The sequence below is a fragment of the Homo sapiens genome, chromosome 16 (assembly GCF_000001405.40).
Source record: "Homo sapiens chromosome 16, GRCh38.p14 Primary Assembly".
NCBI classification, from domain to species: domain Eukaryota; kingdom Metazoa; phylum Chordata; class Mammalia; order Primates; family Hominidae; genus Homo; species Homo sapiens.
The window spans coordinates 74,763,678-74,786,879 of NC_000016.10; the positions used below are offsets into that span (position 1 = coordinate 74,763,678).

Here is a 23,202-nt window from a genome sequence, read left to right on the forward strand (position 1 = left end):
ACAAGAGAACACAGAGAACTAGAATTCTACTCCCCCTCTTAAAGGAGAAATTACAACTAATTTACTTAGGTAATTTTCAAGCAAGTTTATTGCAGGTTGCATGGTTCACTCTAAGTATATAATGACATACTTTCATGAATGAAATTGGTGGCTACTAGTTTTACTGTAACAGGATTTTAAAAATACTTTCTATGCATCAGACTTCAAATATGTTAAAGCAAATCCCACCACCTTCAAATTTGCTTGCCTGGTATTGCTGTTTAAATACTTTGCAATATACCATCAAGGTAAGAAACTGAAGTTATTTGGATAATAGTGTTTTGGAGGCAGTGTTTCACAATATAAAGTACTGAGTTGGAAGTTCATATTTCTCAGTTATAAGCTTTATGAGTGTTGCTAGCATCAAGTTTGTTGTTCTCGAATTTTGTTGTTGTGGCTGAGCTCTTTTTCCATCAGAGAGAAAGAGCAGGTGGGGAAAGTGGTCATTAGAGTCTTCTGCCCACCTTACAATACCATGTCACCCAGCAATCCAGTTACTGGGTATATACCCAGAGGAATATAAATCATTCCATCACAAAGACACATGTACATGTATGTTCATTGCAGCACTGTTCACAACAGCAAAGACATGAAATCAACCCAAACGCCCATCAATGGTAGACTGGATAAAGAAAATGTGGTACATATACACCATGGAATACTATACAGCCACAAAAAAGAACGAGATCATGTCCCTTGAGGGAATATGGATGGAGCTGGAAGCCATTATCCTTAGCAAACTAAGTCAGGAACAGAAACCAAATACCACATGTTCTCACTTATAAGTGGGAGCTAAATGATGAGAATTTATGGACACAAAGATGGAAACAACAGATACCTGAGGCCTCCACCCGAGGGTGCAGGATAGGAGGAGGGAGAGGAGCAGGAAACATAACTAATGGGTACTAGACTTAACACCTGGGTGACAAAATAATCTGTACTACAAACCCCCATGACATGAGTTTACCTATTTAACAAACCTGCACATGTATTGCTGAACTTAGAAGTTTAAAAAAAAAAAAAGAATAGGAGCAATTAGAGAAGATTGAGAACCACTGTTCTGAGTCTATGTGCTTTAGAGAATTTTGCATGAAAAGACACCAGAAAGAGTAAACAGGACTAGAAACCCAGGCAACCTGGGACATACCTATGAGTGTCACCCAGGTACTTATAGCTACATGAGGACTGGGGGGGTCTTAACCCTGAGAGCAATGTGGGTCTTGATTGAGATTTTCTATGGTTAACTTCACTTCTAACCCCTGAAGGAGACTCATGGGACGGGTAGACTGTAAGAGCCTGCTAAGGGAGAGGTTTTGCTAACTCTCTCCGGCTGCAAAGAACCGAGGACAAAGGCAGAAATGAGTGACTTGCTTGATGGTTCTCCATCCTTTCCATCAACTCCCAACCTTTTAACAAGACACAGAAAAGAGATTTTTCTTAATCTTTTTTTTTTTTTTGATACAAAGTCTCGCTCTTGTCCCCCAGGCTGGAGTGCAATGGCGCGATCTTGGCTCACTGCAACCTCCGCCTCCTGGGTTCAAGCGACTCTCCTGCCTCAGCCTCCCAAGTAGCTGGGATTATAGGCATGCGCCACCACACCTGGCTAATTTTTGTATTTTTAGTAGAGACGAGGTTTCACCATGTTGGCCAGGCTGGTCTCGGACTCCTGACCTCAGGTAATCCGCCTGCCTTGGCCTCCCAAAGTGCTGGGATTACAGGCATGAGCCACCGTGCCCGGCTATGTTTCATTCTTAAAGTATCTTGCATATGCTAATATTTCCTTTTCAATTATGCACGTACCTCAGTTTTCCAAGCAACTCATTCATCCACTTATTCAAACATTTATTTATTCATTCATTCATTTTTTTGAGACAGGGTCTCACTCTGCTGCCCAGACTGGAGTACAAATGGTGCAGTCACGGCTCACTGCAGCCTTGACCTCCTGGGCTCAAGCAATCTCCCAAATAGCTGGGACTACAGACACATGACCACGCCTGGCTATGTTGGAAAATTTTTTTGTAGACCTAAGGTCTCACTATGCTGCCCAGGCTGGCCTTGAACTCCTGGTCTCAAGCTCTCTTTCTGCCTTGGCCTCCCAAAGTGCTGTGATTACAGGTATGAGCCCATACCCAGAGCATTCAAATATTTATTAGTACCTATTGGTATGTACCAGTGGTGCCTGTGTGTGCTAGAGAAATCCAGGTGAACTAGACAAGTCCAGTCCTTGGGGAGTTTACAGATTAGTAGACAAAACAATAGGGAAGACAAGAGCCACAGTGGAAATATGTTAAATAAGAAAGAATGTTATCTGCTGGGTGTGGTGGCTCACACCTGTGATCCCAGCACTTTGGGAGGCCGAGGCAGGTGAGGTCAGGAGTTCAAGATCAGCCTGGCAAACATGGTGAAACCCTGTCTCTAGTAAAAATACAAAAATTAGCTGGGCATAGTGGTGGGCACCTGTAATCCCAGCTACTCGGGATGCTGAGGCAGGAGAATCACTTGAACCTGGGAGGCAGAGGTTACAGTGAGCTGAGATCGTGCCACTGCACTCTAGCCTGGGGCCGGGGGAACACAGCAAGACTCTGTCTCAATAAAAAAAAAAAAAAGTTATGAATGCTGTAAGATAGGTTCAGGTAAAGAGCTATGAGAGTCTGAGTGAAGGGGAAAAAAGCAGATATAGGTGAGGAGGTAAGGAGAATCTCTGTGGAAGAAAGAGGATTCAAGCTGGACTTAAGGGATATGGCAATAGGGAGCCATTGAATACTTAGGAGCCCTGCCATAACATGATCAAGTTCTCTTCAGAAAGGTTCAGAGACAATGGGGAACAGAGGAAGACCTGCCCAAGAGACTGCGACAATAGTGAGTGTAGCGAGGCTCTAGCCAAACTAGGGCAGAAGTGAGGGGAATGTTCCAGAAGGAAAACTAAGGGGGGGGGCTCCTGAAGATCAACAGGTGGTCCAAGCCATTGGCTCTTCTTGCTCCAGTTACTCCCCATTTTCTCCCTCTGCCTATGGATTCTCTAGGACAGAGTAGCCAATGGAAACGATTACTGTGAAGAGTAAGAAAAACATCAATAATACCCCAGACATAATACTGAGTGAAAGCAGCCATCAACAGAGTGCATGATGCCCATATAAACATGAGGGATTCACAAAACTATCCTATGGGGATAGAGATTAGAACAGTGGCTGCCTCTGGGAGGCGCTGTTGCCTGGGAGGAGGCAGGAGCCTGTGCTAGGTGCTGGAAGAGTTCTAGGTCTCGATCTGGGTGGTGGCAACAGAGATGTTTACCTAGGTTAAAAAAAAAAAATTGGCCGGGCATGGTGGCTCACGCCTGTAATCCCAACACTTTGGGAGGCTGAGGCAGGCAAATCGCGAGGTTAAGAGATCAAGATCATCCTGGCCAACATAGTGAAACCCCGTCTCTACTAAAAATACAAAAATTAGCTGGGCGTGGTGGTGTGTGCCTGTAATCCCAGCTACTTGGGAGGCCGAGGCAGGAGAATTGCTTGAACCTGGGAGGCGGAGGTTGCAGTGAGCCGAGATTGTGCCATTGCACTCTAGCCTGGTGACAGAGGGAGACTCATAAAAAAAAAAATCACTGAGCTGTATGTTTAAACTTTGTGCACCTTTCTGGGAAATGAGAAGTGAGAGAAACTAACAATGGAGACTGAGAAGTCACAACCGGGGTCTGGATGGTGTGTGAGCCACAATCTGTGAATATGCTACCTGACTTTTCAAAAGGGACTCTGCAGATGTCATTAAGTGAAAGATCTTGAGATGAGATTATCCTGGATCATCTAGGTGGGTCCAGTGTGACCCCGAGTGTACTTCTAAGTGGAAGATGGATGTAGGAGCATCAGTCGTAGGAGGAGACGCAGCAACAGAGGCAGAGGCTGGCATGATGAGATTGCTGGCTGGGCCAAGAGCCAAGGAATGCAGGCAGCCTCCAGTAGCTGGAAAAGGCAGGAAAAAAGAATCTCCCCTAGAGCATCCAGAAGGAATGCTTCCCTGCAGATTCATTTTTTACTTTGGAACTGTAAGAGAGTAAATGTGTGTTGCTTTAAGCCACCGAGTTTGTGATAATTTGCCAGAGAAGCAATCAAAAATGAATTCAGGTGGAAAACTAAAAGGGTATGGCATCCAGCAGCCAGGTGAAGAAAGTGTACTGGAGGGGAGGAAGGGTGATCAATGGTGTCACCAGTTGCTGCCAGGCCATGCAAGGTAAGGTGAGCACTGACCACCGGGTGGAGGAAGGCGAAGGTCCTGGTAACGCCAGCAAGGGCTGTTTCTGTGATGTGGTGGGTTTCAGAGCGCATGGGATGCTTATCACCTGTCTAAATAAATGAAGACTACATACAGACCAATGAGGAGCATGTGTCATAAGAAAAAAAATAAGCGAAGATGATGAATGCTGTTGCCGAAGCATCAGTCTGGGTTATTTCCCGGGAATACTTCCAAAGACAATTACTCTCATGTATTTCTAGGAATCCTGTTTGTTTCTTTTTATTTCCTCCAGAGAATCCTAATTTTTGACCCTCTTCCCAATTCTGGGTCTCAAAGCCTCTTTATTCACTGAATTGTGGGGTGACACCAGAGAGCACTCCTGGAGCTTGTGCTGACCCTGGGGTGGCCATGGAACTGCAGTGACCTGGGCCCTGGATGCCCCACCAGCTGGCCCTAGCTTCGTCCTCCAGGTGAGACTCGACTGGCACCACAGCAGGCCAGAGTGTAGAAGCCCCTGCAGGTGGTAGAGGGCAGTGACTGTTGATTGCTCAGGCAGGCTCCCCTGGGATGCCCCCTTAGAGGCCAAGTGATCTCAACCCCTCCAGTAAGTCGACTTCTCGGCTCTACTCTGCTCAGAAGGTGGCGGCAGTTCAGCAAATTCCCCAAGCATCAGTTTTTATCAGACCGGCTTTCCAAGATGGGCTGAGCTCAAGATGTTCCCGGTCCTGGGTAGGGTGGAAACTCCAAGTCTTTCTGCACTTAGATCTCCTCCTTATTGTCCCTCCCCATTTAATTATTCAAGCCCTTAAGCTCTGAATGGCCAGAGCCCAAAGTCTTACAGACCCATGTGTGGCTGAATCTGTGGACTTCTCAGCCATGCTGAGACAGACAAGCCCTGTGGAATTAAAACATGGCATCGAGACCTTCACACATCAAGGTTACCCCAACACTAGTGGCTGACGAGTCAGGCTTGCCTTCTCCCTAAAGTCTTCTCAAGCAGAGGGCATGGTCAGCTGGCATAGTCAGATATCTGCCAACGGTAGGACCTCTCCAGGATTGGTGGGGCATGGGGGAGTATGAGCCACCCTCTGGCAGTTATCATCGCTCTGGGTGGCAGGCTTGGGGCTCAGGAAAAACCCCAGTTCCATATTCACTTTATTTATTTATTGAGACGGGGTCTCCTCTGTCACTCAGGCTGCAGTGCAGTGGCATGATCACAGCTTATTGCAGGCTCAACTTCCCAGGCTCAGGTGATCCTCCCACCTCAGCCTCCCAAGTAGCTGGGACCACAGGTGCATGCCACCATGCCTGGCTAATTTTTGTAATTTTTTCTTGTAGAGATAGTTTTTCACCATGTTGCCCAGGCTGGTCTCAAACTCCTGGGCTCTAGCGACCTGCCCACCTCAGCCTCCCAAAGTGCCTGGATTACAGGCATGAGCCACCGTGCCTGGCCCCCATTCCCTTTAAAGTGCACGTAAAAGCTTTGATTTTACTGTTATTATCGCCAAGCATGAGTACATGGAAAAATAAAGTGGGTCAATTTAAAGATAAATATTACATTATGACAGTTCAAGTGGTACACCAAATTGGTAAAAGGCGAAAGACTTATACAATCTGAAGAGTAACCAGAGTATAGTACACCAAACTGGGGGGAAAAAAACCTGGGGTGGTGATTCATGGATGCCCAGAGTCTGGGAAACACAGTAATATAGCCTGGGAAGGAGGTTTAGACCTAAAGTCCTTTCCTTGTCTATTTCTTTTGTGAAAAATGCCGGTCGCAGCTCAATAAGTGGACTTCATACTCTGCTAACATGTGGCTGCAGCTGGCAGAGCACTGCTCTCGCCTGAGCTTGGGGTGAGGCTCTTGACCCCACCGCCCTGAGCTCCTTCCCTGCTCAGCCACGGCTCTGTCACTCGCTCAAGGTGGGCAGCTTGGCTTCACCATGTCCAAGGCCGTGGCAGGCAGCATGTTGGCTCAAACAAGTTGGACTTGTTTTGTGAATGTGCCTTCGTGTGAGTGTGAATGTGTGTACCTACAGAGGGTGCAGCAAAGTGGGGTGCAGGGGGAACAAACGGGTCCAGGCCTTCTCCCTGGGGGAAGGGCCAGGATGCTCCCATCCAAGGGCTAAACCAGCAGGACAGGGCCCTAGGAGGGGCACCATTCAGAAACGAGCCCCAAACAACAGAGCTGGTTCATGGCACTCCCCTTCCCCAGCAAAAGCCTCCTGCTCCTCCAGAGACAGGGGGCTCTAACCACAAGGGTGTCAGCATCCCTGGTCCAGCAGGAGAGGAGGGAAGTGCAAAAGGCAGCTTGAGGCTTGCTAGAAGGGCTTAGCTAGGGAGAAGAACAGAAATTGTCTCCAGCCAGGCATCTCTTTGAAAGGATATCCCACCCCCAGATTTCTCCTTTGACAACCTCTCCCACAAGTTTTTTGTTTGTTTGTTTGTTTTTGAGACAGGGTCTTGCTCTGTCACCCAGGCTGGAGAGTACAGTGGTGTGATCTGGCTCACTGCAACTTCCGCCTCCTGGGCTCCAGTGATCCTCTCACCTCAGCCTCCTGAGTAGCTGGGACTGCAGGCACGAGCCACCACACCCAGCTAATTTTTTGTAGAGACGGGGTTTCACCATGTTGCCCAGGCTGGTCTCGAACTCCTGGGCTCAAGTGATCCACCCACCTTGGCCTCCCAAAGTGCTGGAATTATAAGCATGAGCCACTGTGCCCAGCCTTCCTCTCTCTCAATTTAAAGACAACCCTGTACTAGTTCTTAGGTTAGAACTCTGAAGGCAGAAGCTGGCAGCCCAGTGGAGGGCTGGGCTAGTGTGACCATTGTCAAGTTTGGGCTATGCGTCTGCAGATGCATTGTTTTGAGTTTTGTTCCACATGCTCAGGTTGGGGCCCAGAAGTAAGGATGTCTGCAGCATGGCCCGCCCTCGGGCTCTTAGGCAACAGATGAGCATACAGGTCAGAAGCACATGTGAGACTGGGTCCCTGGGTCCCTCTCTAAGCATCAGACAAGGCAAACCATGGTGCTAGGTGGTTAGCAGAGCTGGGAGGTGGGACCATCCAGGGCAGCTGGCCAGGGGTGGCTGTAAGCATACTCAGGATGGTGTTGCGAGGACGAGCCACACCCTAAGGCTCCTTTCTAGAGGATACAGTGACAACACAGGGCGGGCCCATGAGCCACCGCAAACCTGTCAGTCTCAACCTCTCTTATTTCCTGCACTCAGTTTTTCTTTTCTTTTCTTTTTCCTTTTCTATTTTTTTGTGACAAAATCTTACCTGTCACCCAGACTGGAATGCAGTGGTGCGATCTCAGCTCACTGCAACTTCTGCCTCCTGGGTTCAAACGATTCTCTTACCTCAGCCTCCCGAGCAGCTGGGATTACAGGCATGCACCACCACGCCCAGCTAATTTTTGTATTTTTAGCAGAGATAAGATTTTACCGTGTTGCCCAGGCTGATGTCGAACTCCTGACCTCAAGTGATCAGCCTGCCTCAGCCTCCCAAGCAGCTGGGAGGGCACCACCACACCCAGTGCACAACCACACCCGGCTAATTTTTTGTATTTTTAGTAGGGACAGCGTTTCACCATGTTGGCCAGACTGGTCTCAAACCCCTGACCTCAAGTGATCCACCCGCCTTACCCTCCCAAATTCCTGGGATTACAGGTATGAGCCACCGTGCCTGGCCTCCTGCACTCAGTTTTTCTTATATCTTCTTCTAAACCCTTCAGCATGAGCCGACACCAAACACCAACCTCTCAGATTAAACTGGGCCCTCACCACACAATGCTGAGTCCCAGCATATTGTCTAGAGACTCTCCCGAATTCATCCCCCTTCCCCCCATGGTCACAGCCACTGCAGTGGCAGCCATGCAGCAGCATCCTGCCTGATCTCCTCACACCCACTTAGGCTGTCTCTGTTCCTCCTTGAAACTGCAGCCAGCGTCCTCTTCTAAAGATGCAAATCTGACCATGAACCCTGCCTGAACCTCTTCCCTGGCTTCCTTTTTTTTTTTTTTTTAAGATGGAGTCTTGCTCTATTGCCCAGGCTGAAGTGCAGTGGCGTGATCTTGGCTCACTGCAACCTCCACCTCCCGGGCTCACCTGGCTTCCCATTTTTGTTAGAGTCAAGTCCCAAATCCTGACCACAGCCTACGAAGCCCCGTGTGATGTGGCCCCGGCCGACTTTTGGCCTCCCCCCACATCCCTGTCTTTGCCCATCAGCCTCTGGCCACGTTGGTTTTATTTGCAGTCTTTTACTATGTCAAGCTCTTCCTGCCAGAGCCTTCACACGTGCTGTTCCCTTTGCCCAAAATATTCTTCCTGCTACATGCCACCTGGCTAAGCCCAGCCTATCAATCAGCTCTCAGTGTCAATGTCGCTTTCTCAAGAAGGCTCTCTATGCTCCTCCCCTCTAGATCCGTACTCTGATACACCATTAATTAAGCAACTATCATGTGATCTGTGTGTTCCCTCTCCTTCCCCATTATCCCATTAGCTCCATGAAGACAGGAACCGAATTCGTTTTGTTCATTGATATCTCCCCACACCCAGCACAGTGCTGTCAACCCATTAAGGAACCAGTTCCATGACTGAATAAATGATGGAGAAATTAGGCAGGATGACCCAATGAAAAGCCACCTGAAACAGTGGGTGCTAAGTCCTTTCAACCAAAGATCTAAGAGTAGTTGCTGGGCTCATCTTGAAAGCAAGAGTTAGAAGCAGGGGACAATTGTTGGTTTTCAGGAGTCCCCCTTATCCACGGTTTCACTTTCCATGGTTTCAGTAACCCACGGTCAACCTGGGTCCAAAAACATAATTAAATGGAAAATTCCAGAAATAATTTATAAGTTTTAAATTACTTTTCAATAGTAGCCAATGCCACATCACCACACCTGTCATTCACCTCACTCCAACCCATCATGTAGGCATCTTATTATCTTTTTTTTTTTGAGGTGAGCTCTCACTCTGTTGCTCAGGCTGGAGTGCAGTGGCATGATCATGGCTCACTGCAGCCTCCACCTCTCAGGTGATCCTCCCACCTTAGCCTCCCAAGTAGCTAGAATTATAGCCACATGCCACCACACCCGGCTAATTTTGGTATTTTTTGTAGACACAAGGTCTCCCTATGTTGCCCAGGCTGGTCTTGAACTCCTGGGCTCGAGCGATCCTCTTACCTCGGCCTCCCAAAGTGCTAGGATTACAGATGTCAGCCACTTTGCCTGGCCTCATGTTATCATCTTACATTATCACAAGAAGAGTGAGTACAGTACTATAAGATGTTTTGAGAGAAAGGGACCACATACAAATAGCTCTTATTACAGTATATTGTTGTAACTATTCTATTATTGTTGTTGTTAATCTCTTCCTATTGTTCTTAATTTATAAATTTAACTTTATCATAGATATGCATATATGGGAAAAAACATAGCATATATAGGATTCGGTACTATCTGTGGTTTTAAGGATCCACTGAGGGTCTTGAAATGTATCCCCTTGGACAAGGGGGAACTACTGTATATCTAAGCATGATGGCCCCATACCAGTCCCAGAGCCAGGCCTGGGGAACATCAAGAGAGTCGCTTTGCCTCTGGCCTGAGCCTACCTGGAATCCTGTGGACTAGGTCTGTCTCCTCCACCCGAAGACTTTTGGGATGGAGCCAGCATTGATTTTGGAGTCAGATACATGTGGCTTTCCCACTATTTAGCTATTTGACCTTAGGCGCATTAATCAGAGCCTCCCTGAGCCTCAGATTCCATATCCTGAAATGGGAATAACAAAACCTGCCCCAGGTTGAGTTAAGGACTTAAATACCATCGGGAGCTGGTACTGCACAGAAGCGTGCAGCTCAGCACACAGTCTGGTCCAAAGTGCTGGTCCCTTTTCCTTGGCAAAACTGGCTCATGCCTTTCATTTCACTCTTTTGGAGTCCCAAGCCAGCGTGTAGGACAAGAATATAAGGGAAGGTCTGAGAGGTTGGAGGACACAGTCCACCCCAGACATGGCCCAGGCAAGGCCAGGGCGGCACCAGGAAACCCAAGCTAGTGAGAAGAGTTACTGATCTGTGCCTCTTTGAAGCAGAAGTGAGGTGGGATGGGGAGGTGGGAACAGGTTGAGCCCATTATCCAAACAGAAACGGAGAGTGGTTGCAAAGAGGGAGAGGCCGATAAGTGAAGAGGAAGGAAAGCCGAGGCGTATGGGGGGCTGGGGACAGAAACGGGAATCCAGGTTGTCGGAGGGCAGGGGCTGCAGAAGGAACACGCTGGAAGGAGGGGTGCTGGGGAAATGGGAGAGCTGGCACGGAGGCGGGCCAGGCGGTAAGGGTGGAAAGGAAGAGCAAGTTCCTGGAGAGAGGAAGGAGGGGTTGGAGGGGACGACAGTGACCTGTTGCCTGGAGAGAAGAGAGGGAAAGCGAGGGAAGGGAGGGCAGAAGCTGTCACCTTGGGTCCTGCTAGAGGGCAAGTGAACGGGGCTCGCCCGGGAGTGGAAGGCTGACGGAGGCCTGGGTTGGGGTGGGGGGCCCCGGCCCGGCTGTACCTGCTGCTCCCCGCGGAGCTCTCCCACGTAGTACTGCTCCAGCCAGCGGCGCGCGTTGGCCGAGTGCCTGTGCGGCGGCCCGTCCAGGTCGGCGCTGATGTCCTGGCCCGCCCTGGCCCGCAGCAGCTGCTCGCCCCCCGGGTGGTGCCGCACGAAGCTGGAGAGGTCGTAGAGGCGGGCCCCGCGGCGGACCCAGCACGCGCCGGCCGCCAGGCGCCGCTGGACCTCGGAGGGCGAGAAGGAGGCGGCGGGGGGCGGAGCGGGGGCCATGGCCGGAGACCGCAGCTCCCAGCGCGCAGCCCGGCGTCTGCTCTGCTGCCACCCTGAGCGCCTCTAACATCCCGGGAGCCCCGCGGCCGTTCCGGGCGGGCCGCCACCGCACCTGCTCATTTGCATACCGCGCTCCCATTGGCCGGCCGGGAGCCCCGGCAGAGCCGCGAGGGGCGGGCCCGGCGCCGGGAGCTGCGCGCCAGGTGGCCGCGGACAGGGAGTGCCGCGCCCGCCAGGTGTGTCCCGCGCGGGAGGAGGGTGGGCGGACACAGGCGGAGCGAGTCTCCCCGTCGCGGGTGGTTGTCTGGGCGGACATCCTCGGTGGCCTGATCGCTGCTGGAATAACTTCAACTGCTTCCACGGAGGAGCTGGCCGCATGGGACCCTCTGGCTCCAGGAGGTGCCCGAGAGAGCGAGAGGCGAATGAGGTGCTCGCCTCGGGTGCAAATATTTGTTTGTTTTTAAAATTTCAGTAGCTTTTGGGGTACCAGTGGTTTTTGGTTACATGGAGGAATTGTATAGTGGTAAGTCCTGAGATTTTAGTCCACCTGTCCCCCGAGTAGTGTACATTATACCCAATGTGTAGGGTTTTGTGTGTGTGTGTGTGTTACACCCCCTCCCATTCTCCCTATTGTCCATTATATCACTCTGTATGCCTTTGCGTCCTCATAGCTTAGTTCCTACTTATGAGTGAGAACATACAGTGTTTGGTTTTCCATTCCTGAATCACTTTCACTTAGAATAATGGCCTCCAGCTCCATGCAAGTTGCTGCAAAAGACTTCATTTCGTTCCTTTTTATGGCTGAGTAGTATTCTATCGTGTATATCAACTACATTTTCTTTATCCACTCATTGGTTGATGGTTATTTAAGTTGGTTCCATATCTTTTCGATTGTGAATTGGGCTGCAAAAAACAAACATTCGTGTGCAAGTGTCTTTTTCATATAATGACTCTTTTCCTTTGGGTAGATACCCAGTGGTGGGATTGCTGGACCGAATGGTGAATCTACTTTTTCTCTCCTCCCCTCCCCTCCCCTCCCCTTCCCTTCCTTTCCCTTCCCTTCCCGTGACAAGGTCTCACTCTGTCACCCAGGCTGGAGAGTAGTGGTGCGATCTTGGTTCACTGCAGCCTCGACCTCCCGGGCTCAAGCAATCCTCTTACCTCAGCCTCCCAAGTAGCTGGCACTACAGGCATGCACCACTACGCCTGGCTAATTTTTGTATTTTTTGTAGAGACGAGGTTTCACCATGCTGCCCAGGATGGTCTCAAACTCCTGGGCTCAAGCGATTTGCCTGCCATGGCCTCCCATAGTGCACTTTTTTTTTTTTTTTTTGAGACAGAGTCTCACTCTGTTGCCCAGGCTGAAGTGCAGTGGCACAATCTCAGCTCACTGCTACCTCCGCCTCCCGGGTTCAAGCGATTCTCCTGCCTCAGCCTCCAGAGTAGCTATGACTATAGGCGCGTGCCACCACGCCCGGCTAATTTTTTTGTATTTTTAGTAGAGACGGGGTTTCACCATGTTGGCCAGGTTGGTCTCGAACTCCTGGCCTCTAGTGATCCTCCCGCCGCAGCCTCCCAAAATGCTGGGATTACAGGCGTGAGCCACCGCGCCCAGCCCCAAAGTGTACTTTTAGTTTGTTAAAGAATCTCTGTACTGTTTTCCAAACAAGTTGTACTAATTTACATTCCCACCAGCAGTGCATAGCATAAGCATCCCCCTTTCACTACATACACGCAGACATCTACTGTTTCTTGACTTTTTAATAATGTTCGAGGGCAAAATTTAATGGGGCACCCCAAAACTCAGTCATCACTATATCTAATACCTGAACGTAATATTTAAAAAATTATATTGTTGGCTGGGTGCGGTAACTCACACCTGTAATCCCAGCACTTTGGGAGGCCGAGGTGGGCGAATCACGAGGTCAAGAGATCGAGACCATCTTGGCCAACATAGTGAAACCCCATCTCTACTAAAAATACAAAAATTAGCTGGCTGTGGAGGCACGCATCTGTAGTCCTAGCTACTTGGGAGGCTGAGGCAGGGGAATCGCTTGAATCTGGGAGTTGGAGGTTGCAGTGAGCCGAGAACGCCCCACCACACTCCAGCCTGGCGAGAAAGAGAGACTCTGTCTCAAAAAAAAAATTATTTTGTTGCACAATGTGAATGTTCTTAATGCCACTGAACTGTACACTGAAAATGGTTGGAATGGTAAATTTATATTATGTATATTTTACCGCAATACAAAATATTTAAGAATGTTTTAAAAAATCACATTGTCAAAAGACAGGGGTGAGGGGTGGGGTTGGGGGCGTGGCATTGGCCACCTGTTTTTGTAAATAAAGTTTTATTGGAACCAGGGCCAGGGATTCCTGAGACAGGGATGTGAAAGTGCAGGGTTAGCTCCTGTTTTTATTTAAAATTTTGATATTTTGTCCATCATGGATTTTTTTGCATTAATCTTGAAGTTTTACAATACTGCATTAAAATATTATTTATCTTGGTTACTTTTTTTTGTTTGTTTTTTGGCATGCCTGTAGATTTTGCTCTCAGGGTTAGTGCCTCACTCCCTCACTCTAATCCTGGGCCCTGGGGAAGGACCTGAGGGGAGAACAGAGAACACTGTCTCCATTACAGAAGGGGAAGTAGGGGCCTACAGGAGTAAAGGCTGGGGGTGATGCTGTGTGGAAAGGAGGACTGAATTTGTTCATCACAGTTTTGTTTAGAACAGGAAAAACTTGGTTGGACATGGTGGCTCATGCCTGTAATCCCAACCCTTTGGGAGGCCAAGGCAGGAGGATCGCTTGAGCCCAGGAGTTCAAGACCAGCCTGGGCAACAAAGCAATACCTCGTCTCTACAAAAAAATTTTTTTTTTAAATTGAGGCCAGGCCGGGCGCGGTGGCTCATGCCTGTAGTCCCAGCACTTTGGGAGGCCGAGGTGGGCGGATCACCTGAGGTCGGGAGTTTGAGACCAGCCTGACCAACATGGAGAAACTCTATCTCTACTAAAAATAAAAAATTAGCCAGGCATGGTGGTGCCTGCCTGTAATCTCAGCTACTCAGGAAGGCTGAGGCAGGAGAATCATTTGAACCCGGGAGGCAGAGGTTGCAGTGAGATTGTGCCATTGCACTCCAGCCTGGGCAACAAGAGCGAAACTCTGTCTCAAAAAAAAAAAAAAAAAAAATTGAGGCCAGGTGCGGTGGCTCACACCTGTAATCCTAGCACTTTGGGAGGCCAAGGCAGGCAGATCCCCTGAGGTCAGGAGTTTGAGACCAGCCTGGCGAACATGGTGAAACCCTGTCTCTACTAAAAATACAAGAAAATTAGTCGGGCGCAGTGGCATGCCCCTGTAGTCCCAGCTACTTAGAAGACTGAGGCTGGAGAATCGCTTGAACCCAGGCGTCAGATGTTGCAGTGAGTGGAGATTGCACCACTGCACTCCAGCCTGTGTGACAGAGCGAGGCTCCATCTCAAAAATAATTGGATAAATAAATAATTTAAAAAATTAGCCAGTTGTAGTGATGCAGGCTTATCGTCCCAGCTACTGGGGAGGCTGAGGCCAAAGGATCTCTTGAGTCCAGGAGTTTGAGGCTGCAGTATCCTATGACTGCACCACTGCACTCCAGCCTGGGCAACAGAGTGAGCTCCATCTCTTAAACAGAAAACAAAAAGCAGAAAAGCCACACCCAGCTTTACTTGCTCAGCCACAGGGGATCCCACTTGAACTCATGATTTGTAATCAAATGCTCCTGGTACAGAGGCTAACCCATCCAGCTGGCTTTGTCTCTTTCAGGAAAGATATTTTAAGGATCATCTCCATTTGTGCCCTTCTGGGGCCAGGCATCTGTGCTGGGCCAGTTCAAGTATGGGAAGCCTGGCCCAGATGCCTCAGGGGTCCCCAGGTCAGAAGAGCCGCCCCTCTTCCCTCTCCCTTCTCTTCGGACTGACCCTCAGGGAGTAGGCGAGAGTTTTGCTGTCTGTGGGTCTATGGAGCACCTGTCCGTCAGGCCTAGAGGCCTCACATCAACAGAGTTGTTGCTTTTCTCAAGCGGTGAATGCATAAGTAGTCACCTTTACCCAACTTCCACACCTACTCTGCTGCAAATCCCGTTCATGTGCCAAAGCAGCCAAGCGCACAGTCGCAGGTGTACTCAGGCACTTCTTGCTGACAGTATCTGTGGGCACTCCCATTTGGATTTCTCACCATGGCTGTGAACTCCCAGTGTTTACAGTTGAACAAATGATTTGGCCATCTGTTCAGAATTGTAACACTCACAGTTCTTGCCCTAGTTATTTCCACTTCTAGAAATTTAATCTTACAGATATACTATATCAAGATGCATGAACAATAACATTAATTGCAACCTCATTTATAGACTAGAAATGATCAAATGTTCATCATGAGGGAGGACTGATTAAATAAACTATGGTATATTCAGACAGTGAAATACTATGTAGCCATTAGAAAAAATGAGGTAGATCTATGTGTACTAATTTAGAATAATCTCCAGAGTATTGTAGGGGAAAACAACAGGAATGGTGTGTATGGCATGCTAAAAACTAGTTTGCTATTTTTAATTATTTAATCTTTAAGATATTTTTATGAAAACAAAAACATATATGTAATTTTTAAAGCAAAAAGTTTCCTTAACTCCTTGAATCTTCCTCCTAACTCAAGAGCTAGGACATTACCAAAAACTTGCACCTACTACTGTACCCCAAACCTTTCACCTCTCTGCCTATTGGTTACAAAGACATAAAATTTTCCCTGATGTTTATGCTCATCCTTCCTTTGAAACAGAATTGAGTCCTGTCCCCAGGCTGGAGTGCAGTGCTGTGATCTTGGCTCAGTGCAACCTCTGCCTTCTAGGTTGAAGCAATTCTCATACCTCAGCCTCCCAAGTAACTGGATTACAGGCTTCTGCCGTCACACCCAGCTAATTTTTTTATTTTTGTAGAGATGAGGTTTCACCATTTTGGCCAGGCTGGTCTTGAACTCCTGACCTCAGGTGATCTGCCCACCTCGGCGTCCCAAAGTGCTAGGATTACAGGCGTGAGCCACCGCGCCCAGTCTGCTTTTAGTTTTAATATTTTTAGCACACCTAAGTGTGTGCCTATAGAATGTATTATTTAGATCAGCTTGGTTTTGATTTTATGAAAATCATGTGATACTCTATTTAGCTTTATGTGGCCGTGCATGCTTTATTTATTTGAAGATTCATCCGACACTCCATCCAGTGTTGAGGATCACTTTTTTTTTTTTTTTTTGGAAACAGAGTCTTACTCTGTCGCCCAGGCTGGAGTGCAGAGGTGCAATCTGAGCCCATTTCAACCTCCGTCTCCTGGGTTCAACCAATTATTCTGCCTCAGCCTGCTGAGTAGCTGGGATGACAGGCACGTGCTACCACACCAGTTTTCACTGCTATGTCATATTCCACTATATGAATTTATTCATTTCCCTTTTCCTCTTCAAAGGAATTTTAATTGTTTCTTTTTTTTTCTATTGTGAAATTTCTTATACCTATGGGTGAGACTTTCTGTAGCCTATGTACCTAGGAGTACATCCTAGAGTACGCAAGTGTTCAAATTTGCAAGAGAATGTAAATTGACTTCTAGGTGGATATACTATTTTACATCTCCATGAAAGATGCATGAAAATCTCTAGCCCTAATATTAGAAACAAGGCAAGGATGGCAGTCTTATCACTTATATTCAACATTAGCAATGCTAGCCAGTGATGTAAGGCAAACAAAAAAAAGAAAGCCATAAAAAGAAGAAATGAAGGAGGAAAACTTTCTACTTGCAGAGACCATGATCGTTTACATAGAAAATCTCAACCAATTTGCAAAACAACCAGAACTAATAAGTAAATTTAGCAAGTCCATAGGATCCAAGGTCAAAATACAAAAATCAGTCATATTTTAATTACTAGCAACAAACAATTGGAAAATAATGTTTTAGAATTTCATTTATAATAGTGGCAAAACCCATAAAGTATGCAAGGATAAATTTGACAAAAATTATCTAAAACCTCTAACTGAAAACTACAAAAATGCTGCTGAGATAAATGAAAGAATATCTTAACAAATGGAATTCATAGATATACCAAATTCCAAGTTCATATATTGCATAACTCAATATTAAGATCTCAATTATCTTCCAACTGATCTAATGATTCAACACAATTCCAATCATAATCCCACTAGCCACTAGTTTTGTGGTTGTTTTTTGTTTGTTTGTTTGTTTTTTGAGACAGAGTCTTACTCTGTCACCCAGGCTGGAGTGCAGTGGTGCAATCTGAGCTCATTGCAACCTCTGTCTCCTGGGGTTCAAGTGATTCTTCTGCCTCAGCCTCCCAAGTAGCTGGGATGACAGGCACGCGTCACCACACCCGGCTAATTTTCATACGTTTAGTAGAGGCGGGGTTTCACTATGCTGGCCAGGCTGGTCTCGAACTCCTGACCTCAGGTAATCTGCTCGCCTTGGCCTCCCAAAGTGCTGGGATTACAGGCATGAGCCATCGTGCTAGCCCACTAGTTGTTGTTGTTGTTGTTGTTGTTTTTTAGAACTTTAACTTGCTTTTAAAATGTATATGGAAATGCAAAGGACCTAGAATATTGAAAGCAATCTTGAGAAAGAACAAACTTATGGGACTTACACTTCCTGACTTCAAGCCTTGGTATAAAGCTACATATTCAAAACAGTGTAGTACTTGCATAAGAAGCAACAAATAGATCAGTGGAACAAAACAGAACAGAAAGAGACTCAAACATATAAGGTCATTTTGTTCTTTTATTGAGATTATTTACATACAATAAAATGTGGCCTTTTTAGTGTACAGTTGGGGCACCTTCTATATCCTTTTTTTTTTTCCTTCTATATCCTTCTAAAGGTCAGATTTGTCTCTCCCTTTGCTAATACATTGTCATTATTGTAGCTTTAGTAATAAGTCTTGATATCTGATAAGGCTGATACCTACACCCTGTTCTTTAAGAGTGTCTTTGTTTATGCTCAGATTTTTCTTTTTTTCATATAAACTTTAGAATCATTTTGTCAATGTCCATGAAGAAGCCTATTGGGATTGTGAAAACAATTTTACTGAATCCATAGATTAATTTGGAGAGGATTAATATATTTGAGGCCAGGCTTGGTGGCTCACACCTGTAATCTCAGCAATTTGGGAGGCCGAGGCAGGAGGATCGCTTGAGCCCAGGAGTTCAAGACCAGCCTGGGCAACAGGCAAGACCCCATGTCTACAAAAAAAAAAATACAAAAAATTAGTTGGGTGTGATGGTGATGCACCTGTGGTCCCAGCTACTCAGGAGGCTGAGGCAGGCAGATCACTTGAGCCTGAGAAGTTGAGGCTGCAGTGAGCTATGATCATGCCACTGCACTCCAGCCTGGGTGACAGAGTAAGATTGTGTTAAATGAATTCCTAAGTATCCTATATTGTTTTTCTATTATAAATAATTTCTTTTTTCTTTTTCTTTCTTTCTTTTTTTTTTTTTTCTGAGGTGGAGTATTGCTCTATCACCCAGGCTGGAGTGCAGTGGTGCGATCTCGGCTCACTGCAACATCCGCCTCCTGGGCTTAAGCAATTCTCTGCCTCAGCCTGTGAGTAGCTGGGATTACAGGCAGGTGCCACCACACCCGGCTAATTTTTGTATTTTTACGGGGTTTCACCATGTTGGCCAGGCTGGTCTTGAACTCCTGACTTCGTGATCCACCTGCCTCGGTCTCCCAAAGTGTTGGGATTACAGGTGTGAGCCACCGTGCCTGGCCAATAATTTCTTTTTAAATAAGCTTTTTGTTGATGTATGACATCCATAGAGAAAAGTACACAAATCATAAGTGTACAGCTCAATGAATTTTCACCAAGTGAGCATACACTTCTCAGGAAATAGAACACTAACAGCCCCACAGAAGTCTCCCTCAAGCCTTTTCACAGTTACTGCCTCTTTCCCAGAGAAAACCACCATGTTGATTTCCAACCCCATACGTGAGTTTTGTCTGCTTTAGAATTTTATACAAATAGGATCATGCAGTGTATATTCTGTTTAACTGCCTTCTTTCACTTATTCTTAGGTTTGTGAGATCCGTTTATGTTGTTTGGTATAGTAGTAATTTGCACATTCTTATATCTGTATAGTATTCCAGTATATGAACATGCCACACTTAATTTATCCATTCTATTATTAATGGACTTTTGGGTTGTTTACAGCTTGTGGCTATTGAGTGCTGCTATAAATTTGCTTGTACATGGTTGTTTTTTTTTTTAATTTGAATGCATTTCCGTCAGGTAGATACCCAGGAGCAGACTTGTCTGTGTTCAACTTGAGTAGGTAATGTACCAAATTATACTCCCATCAGCAGTATATGAGAGTTCCAATTTTCCCACATCCTTGCCACACTCAGTTTTATTAGCGTTAAAACAATTTTTTAGCCATCCTGGTGGGTAAATATTGGTATCTCATTGTGATTTAAATGCGCGTATCCTCAGTGACTGGGACTGAATACTTGTATTTAATTGGTTATCCCTATTGTCCATTTTTCTGTCAATTTTTTTTTTTTTTGAGACGGAGTCTTGCTCTGTCGCCCAGGCTGGAGTGCAGTGATGTGATCTCCGCTCACTGCAACCTCCGCCTCCTGGGTTCAAGTGATTCTCCTGCCTCAGCCTTCTGAGTAGCTGGGATTACAGGTGCGCGCCACCATGCCCAGCTAATTTTTTGTATTTTTAGTAGGTGGCCAGGCTGGTCTCGAACTCCTGACCTCGTGACCCACTCACCTCAGCCTCCCAAAGTGCTGGGATTACAGGCGTGAGCCACTGCACCCGGACTTTTTTTTTTTTTTTTTTTTTTTTTGAGATGGAGTCTTGCTCTGTCACCCAGGCTGGAGTGCAATGGCATGATCTCGGCTCACTGCAACCTCTGCATCCTGGGTTGAAGTGATTTTCCCGCCTCAGCCTCCTTAGTAGCTGGGATTACAGGCACCGGTCACCACACCCAGCTAATTTTTGTATTTTTGCAGAGACAGGGTTTTGCCATGTTGGCCAGGCTGGTCTTGAACTCCTGACCTCAGGTGATCCGCCCACCTCGGCCTCCCAAAGTGCTGGGATTATAGGCGTGAGCCACTGTGCCCAGCTGAGGAACATTTTTTTTTTTTTTTTTAGACGGAGTTTTTGCTCTTGTTGCCCAGGCTGGAGTGCAATGGTGTGATCTTGGCTCACCACAACCTCTGCCTCCCGGGTTCAACCAATTCTGCTGCCTCAGCCTCCCAAGTAGCTGGGATTACAGGCATGCGCCACTACGCCCAGCTAATTTTTTGTATTTTTAGTAGAGACAGAGTTTCACCATGTTGGTCAGGCTGGTCTTGAACTCCTGACCTCAGGTGATCTGCCTGCCTCAGCCTCCCAAAGTGCTAGGATTACAGGCGTAAGCCACCGCACCTGGCCTTTAAAATTTAAAGTAGTTTATCAGTCTTTTAGTTTATGATTATGGCTTTTGTATCTTAAGAAATATTTGACTACCCCCAAATTATAAATATATTCTTCTATATATTCTTTTCTTCTGGAAGCTCTATTTTTTTACTTTTCATATTTAGATCTAAAATCAACTTGGGATTGATTTTTTTAGTATGGTGTAAGATATGGGTCGAGATTAGTATTTTTTTCCATGTATATATCCAGTCTATTCAGCAACACTTGTTGAAAAGACCACACTCTTTTCTACATGGCTCTGAGGTATCACTTTCACATAAATCAAATGTATACAGTCATGTGTCACTTAATGGCAGGTATACAGTCTAAGCAATGCATCATTAGGCTATTTCATCATTATATGAACATCACAGAATGTGTGTACATGAGCTGGGTGTGGTGGCTCACGCCTGTAATCCCAGCACTTTGGGAGGCCGAGGCGGGTGGATTGCTTGAGTCCAGTAATTCGAGACCAGCCTGGGCAACATAGCGAAGGCCTGTCTCTACAAAAATTAGCTGAGCCTGGAGGGACACGCTTGTAGTTCCAGCTACTCAGGAGGCTGAGGTGGGAGGATTGCTGGAGTCTGGGAGGTGGAGGTTGCAGTGAGTCGAGATCATACCACTGCACTCCAGCCTGAGCAACAGAGCCGGACCTTGTCTCAAAAACAACAACAAAAAACTTGCATTAAAGTTCACAAAACATAAAATTCATCATTTTAACCATTTTAATACATACAACTCAAGGGCATTAGTACAGTCACAGTGCTGTGCAATCATCTTCTCCAAATATTTTCACCACCCCAAAAGGAAACCCCAGATCCACTGGCAGTCCTTCTCTATCCTGTTCTTCTCCTAGCTCCTGGCAACTACTAATCTGTTCTCTGTCTTCATGGATTGTCCTATTCTGGATATTTCATAGAAAAGGAATCATACAACATGTGACCTTTGTGCTGACTTCTTTTACTTAGCACAGCATTTTCGAAGTTCATCCACGTGGCAGCAGGTGTCAGTACTTCATTCCTTTTCATGGCCCAATAGTGTGCCATTCTATGGATATATCCCATTTTGTTTATCCATTCACCGGGTGACTGACTTTTGGGTTGTTTTTACCTTTGGCTATTACGAACAGTGCTGCTGTGAATATTCAGTTTCTTTCTGTATAAAATAGGGATCAAAAATTGCTGTCCTGGCTGAGTCAAAGGCTGTCAGGAAAGTCAAATGAGATAGCACAGAAGAAAGTTTTCTGTGAGCTGCTTGGCGTCGTGCAAGTGTGGAGTGGAATCTGGTGTTGTTATTGTTATGGTTAAGATCATGATCATGGTTATGGACATGTTCAGCTATCCTGGCATCAGGGAGGAGAGGAAAGGTCCCAGGCCTGAGCTCTCCCTCAATGCCAGCTTGTCACCCAGTGCCCAGTGTTGGTCCGTCTGGCAGAGGCCAGCTGCTCACAAGTTATATTAGTCCATTTTCACACTGGTGATAAAGACATACGGCTGGGTGCAGTGGCTCATGCCTGTAATCCCAGCACTTTGGGAGGCCGAGGCGGGTGGATCACTTGAGATCAGGAGTTCGAGACCAGCCTGGCCAACATGGTGAAACCCAATCTTTACTAAAAATACAAAAATTAGCCAGATGTGGTGGCAGGTACCTGTAATCCCAGCTACTTGGGAGGCTGAGGCTGGAGAATCGCTTGAACCTAGTAGGCAGAGGTTGCAGTGAGCCGAGATCACACCACTGCACTCCAGCATGGGCAACAGAGGAGACTCTGTCTCAGAACAAAAAAAGAAAAAAGAAAAAAAAGACATACCCAAGACAGGGTAATTTATAAAGAAAAAGAGATTTAATGGACTCACAATTCCATGTGCTTGGAGAGGCCTCACAATCAGAAGGTAAAAGGTGCTTCTTACATGGCGGCAGCAAGAGAGAAATGAGAGCCACACAAAAGGAGTTTCCCATTGTAAAGCCATCAGATCTTGTGAGACTGATTCATTACCATGAGAACAGTATGGGGGAAACCACCCCCATAATTCAATTATCTCCCACAGGGTTCCTCCCACAACACATGGGAATTATGAGACACCATTCAAGAATAGATTTGGGTGGGGACACAGCCAAACCATACCACAAGTATATCTAGATATCAGTGCTTGGCCATTCGGAGATAGCAATCAGGGAAAAGGGCCAGTTAACAATAACTTGCCTTGGAGTTCTGCATCATTATTTGGTCTTGTTGCCTGTGGACTTGAGTTGGACGGAATAACTTTTGAACAAATCTGCTGGGTGCATTTAGACAGGTAAGACAGGCAGTGATTGGAGTTACTGAGAAACTCCCTAGTGCTCTAGGCTAGCTATTACCACAGTGCAGAGTAGTTTCACTTATTTACTCCCTCCATCTTTTTCAAATTCCTGCTCTCTGTCTTGAGCTGGGAACATAAAGGAAAGGGAAGACATCATTTATATGCCCCAGATTGAGGAAAAGAGCATGTGAAGCTGGAGGGCATTTGTAAAGCAACTCCCTCCAAAAAATTACCTAAACTGCCATGGTGCAGAGAGGCAGAGGGAATATACACATATTTAAAAAGAGAGGGTTTAGTGAAATTAATAGAAAAGTCTCCTGGGAAGTGAGTACCCTGGTGACTATTAGAA

The 23,202-nt window shown here is 46.7% G+C and overlaps 1 protein-coding gene across 2 annotated transcripts in view, besides 6 other annotated features; it reads right to left on the reverse strand.

The window, feature by feature from the left end:
* Positions 1 to 11,143, reverse strand: part of FA2H (fatty acid 2-hydroxylase) — a 61,852-nt gene extending 50,709 nt beyond the window's left edge. For both annotated transcript variants that reach the window (NM_024306.5, XM_011523317.4), the window contains exon 1: positions 10,809 to 11,143. In NM_024306.5, coding sequence (NP_077282.3) covers positions 10,809 to 11,078 — 270 coding nt within the window. In that variant the 5' untranslated portion in view covers positions 11,079 to 11,143. The remainder of the gene's footprint in view (positions 1 to 10,808) is intronic.
* Positions 7,325 to 7,404: an enhancer, noted in NCBI's record as "active region_11109". NCBI's record gives its function as "activates an Ori minimal core promoter by ATAC-STARR-seq in GM12878 lymphoblastoid cells {active_cell/tissue: GM12878}" and the evidence as "EXISTENCE:reporter gene assay evidence [ECO:0000049][PMID:35858748]".
* Positions 8,200 to 8,489: an enhancer, noted in NCBI's record as "active region_11110". NCBI's record gives its function as "activates an Ori minimal core promoter by ATAC-STARR-seq in GM12878 lymphoblastoid cells {active_cell/tissue: GM12878}" and the evidence as "EXISTENCE:reporter gene assay evidence [ECO:0000049][PMID:35858748]".
* Positions 10,780 to 10,829: a silencer, noted in NCBI's record as "silent region_7700". NCBI's record gives its function as "represses an Ori minimal core promoter by ATAC-STARR-seq in GM12878 lymphoblastoid cells {active_cell/tissue: GM12878}" and the evidence as "EXISTENCE:reporter gene assay evidence [ECO:0000049][PMID:35858748]".
* Positions 10,870 to 11,239: a silencer, noted in NCBI's record as "silent region_7701". NCBI's record gives its function as "represses an Ori minimal core promoter by ATAC-STARR-seq in GM12878 lymphoblastoid cells {active_cell/tissue: GM12878}" and the evidence as "EXISTENCE:reporter gene assay evidence [ECO:0000049][PMID:35858748]".
* Positions 11,250 to 11,379: a silencer, noted in NCBI's record as "silent region_7702". NCBI's record gives its function as "represses an Ori minimal core promoter by ATAC-STARR-seq in GM12878 lymphoblastoid cells {active_cell/tissue: GM12878}" and the evidence as "EXISTENCE:reporter gene assay evidence [ECO:0000049][PMID:35858748]".
* Positions 11,390 to 11,449: a silencer, noted in NCBI's record as "silent region_7703". NCBI's record gives its function as "represses an Ori minimal core promoter by ATAC-STARR-seq in GM12878 lymphoblastoid cells {active_cell/tissue: GM12878}" and the evidence as "EXISTENCE:reporter gene assay evidence [ECO:0000049][PMID:35858748]".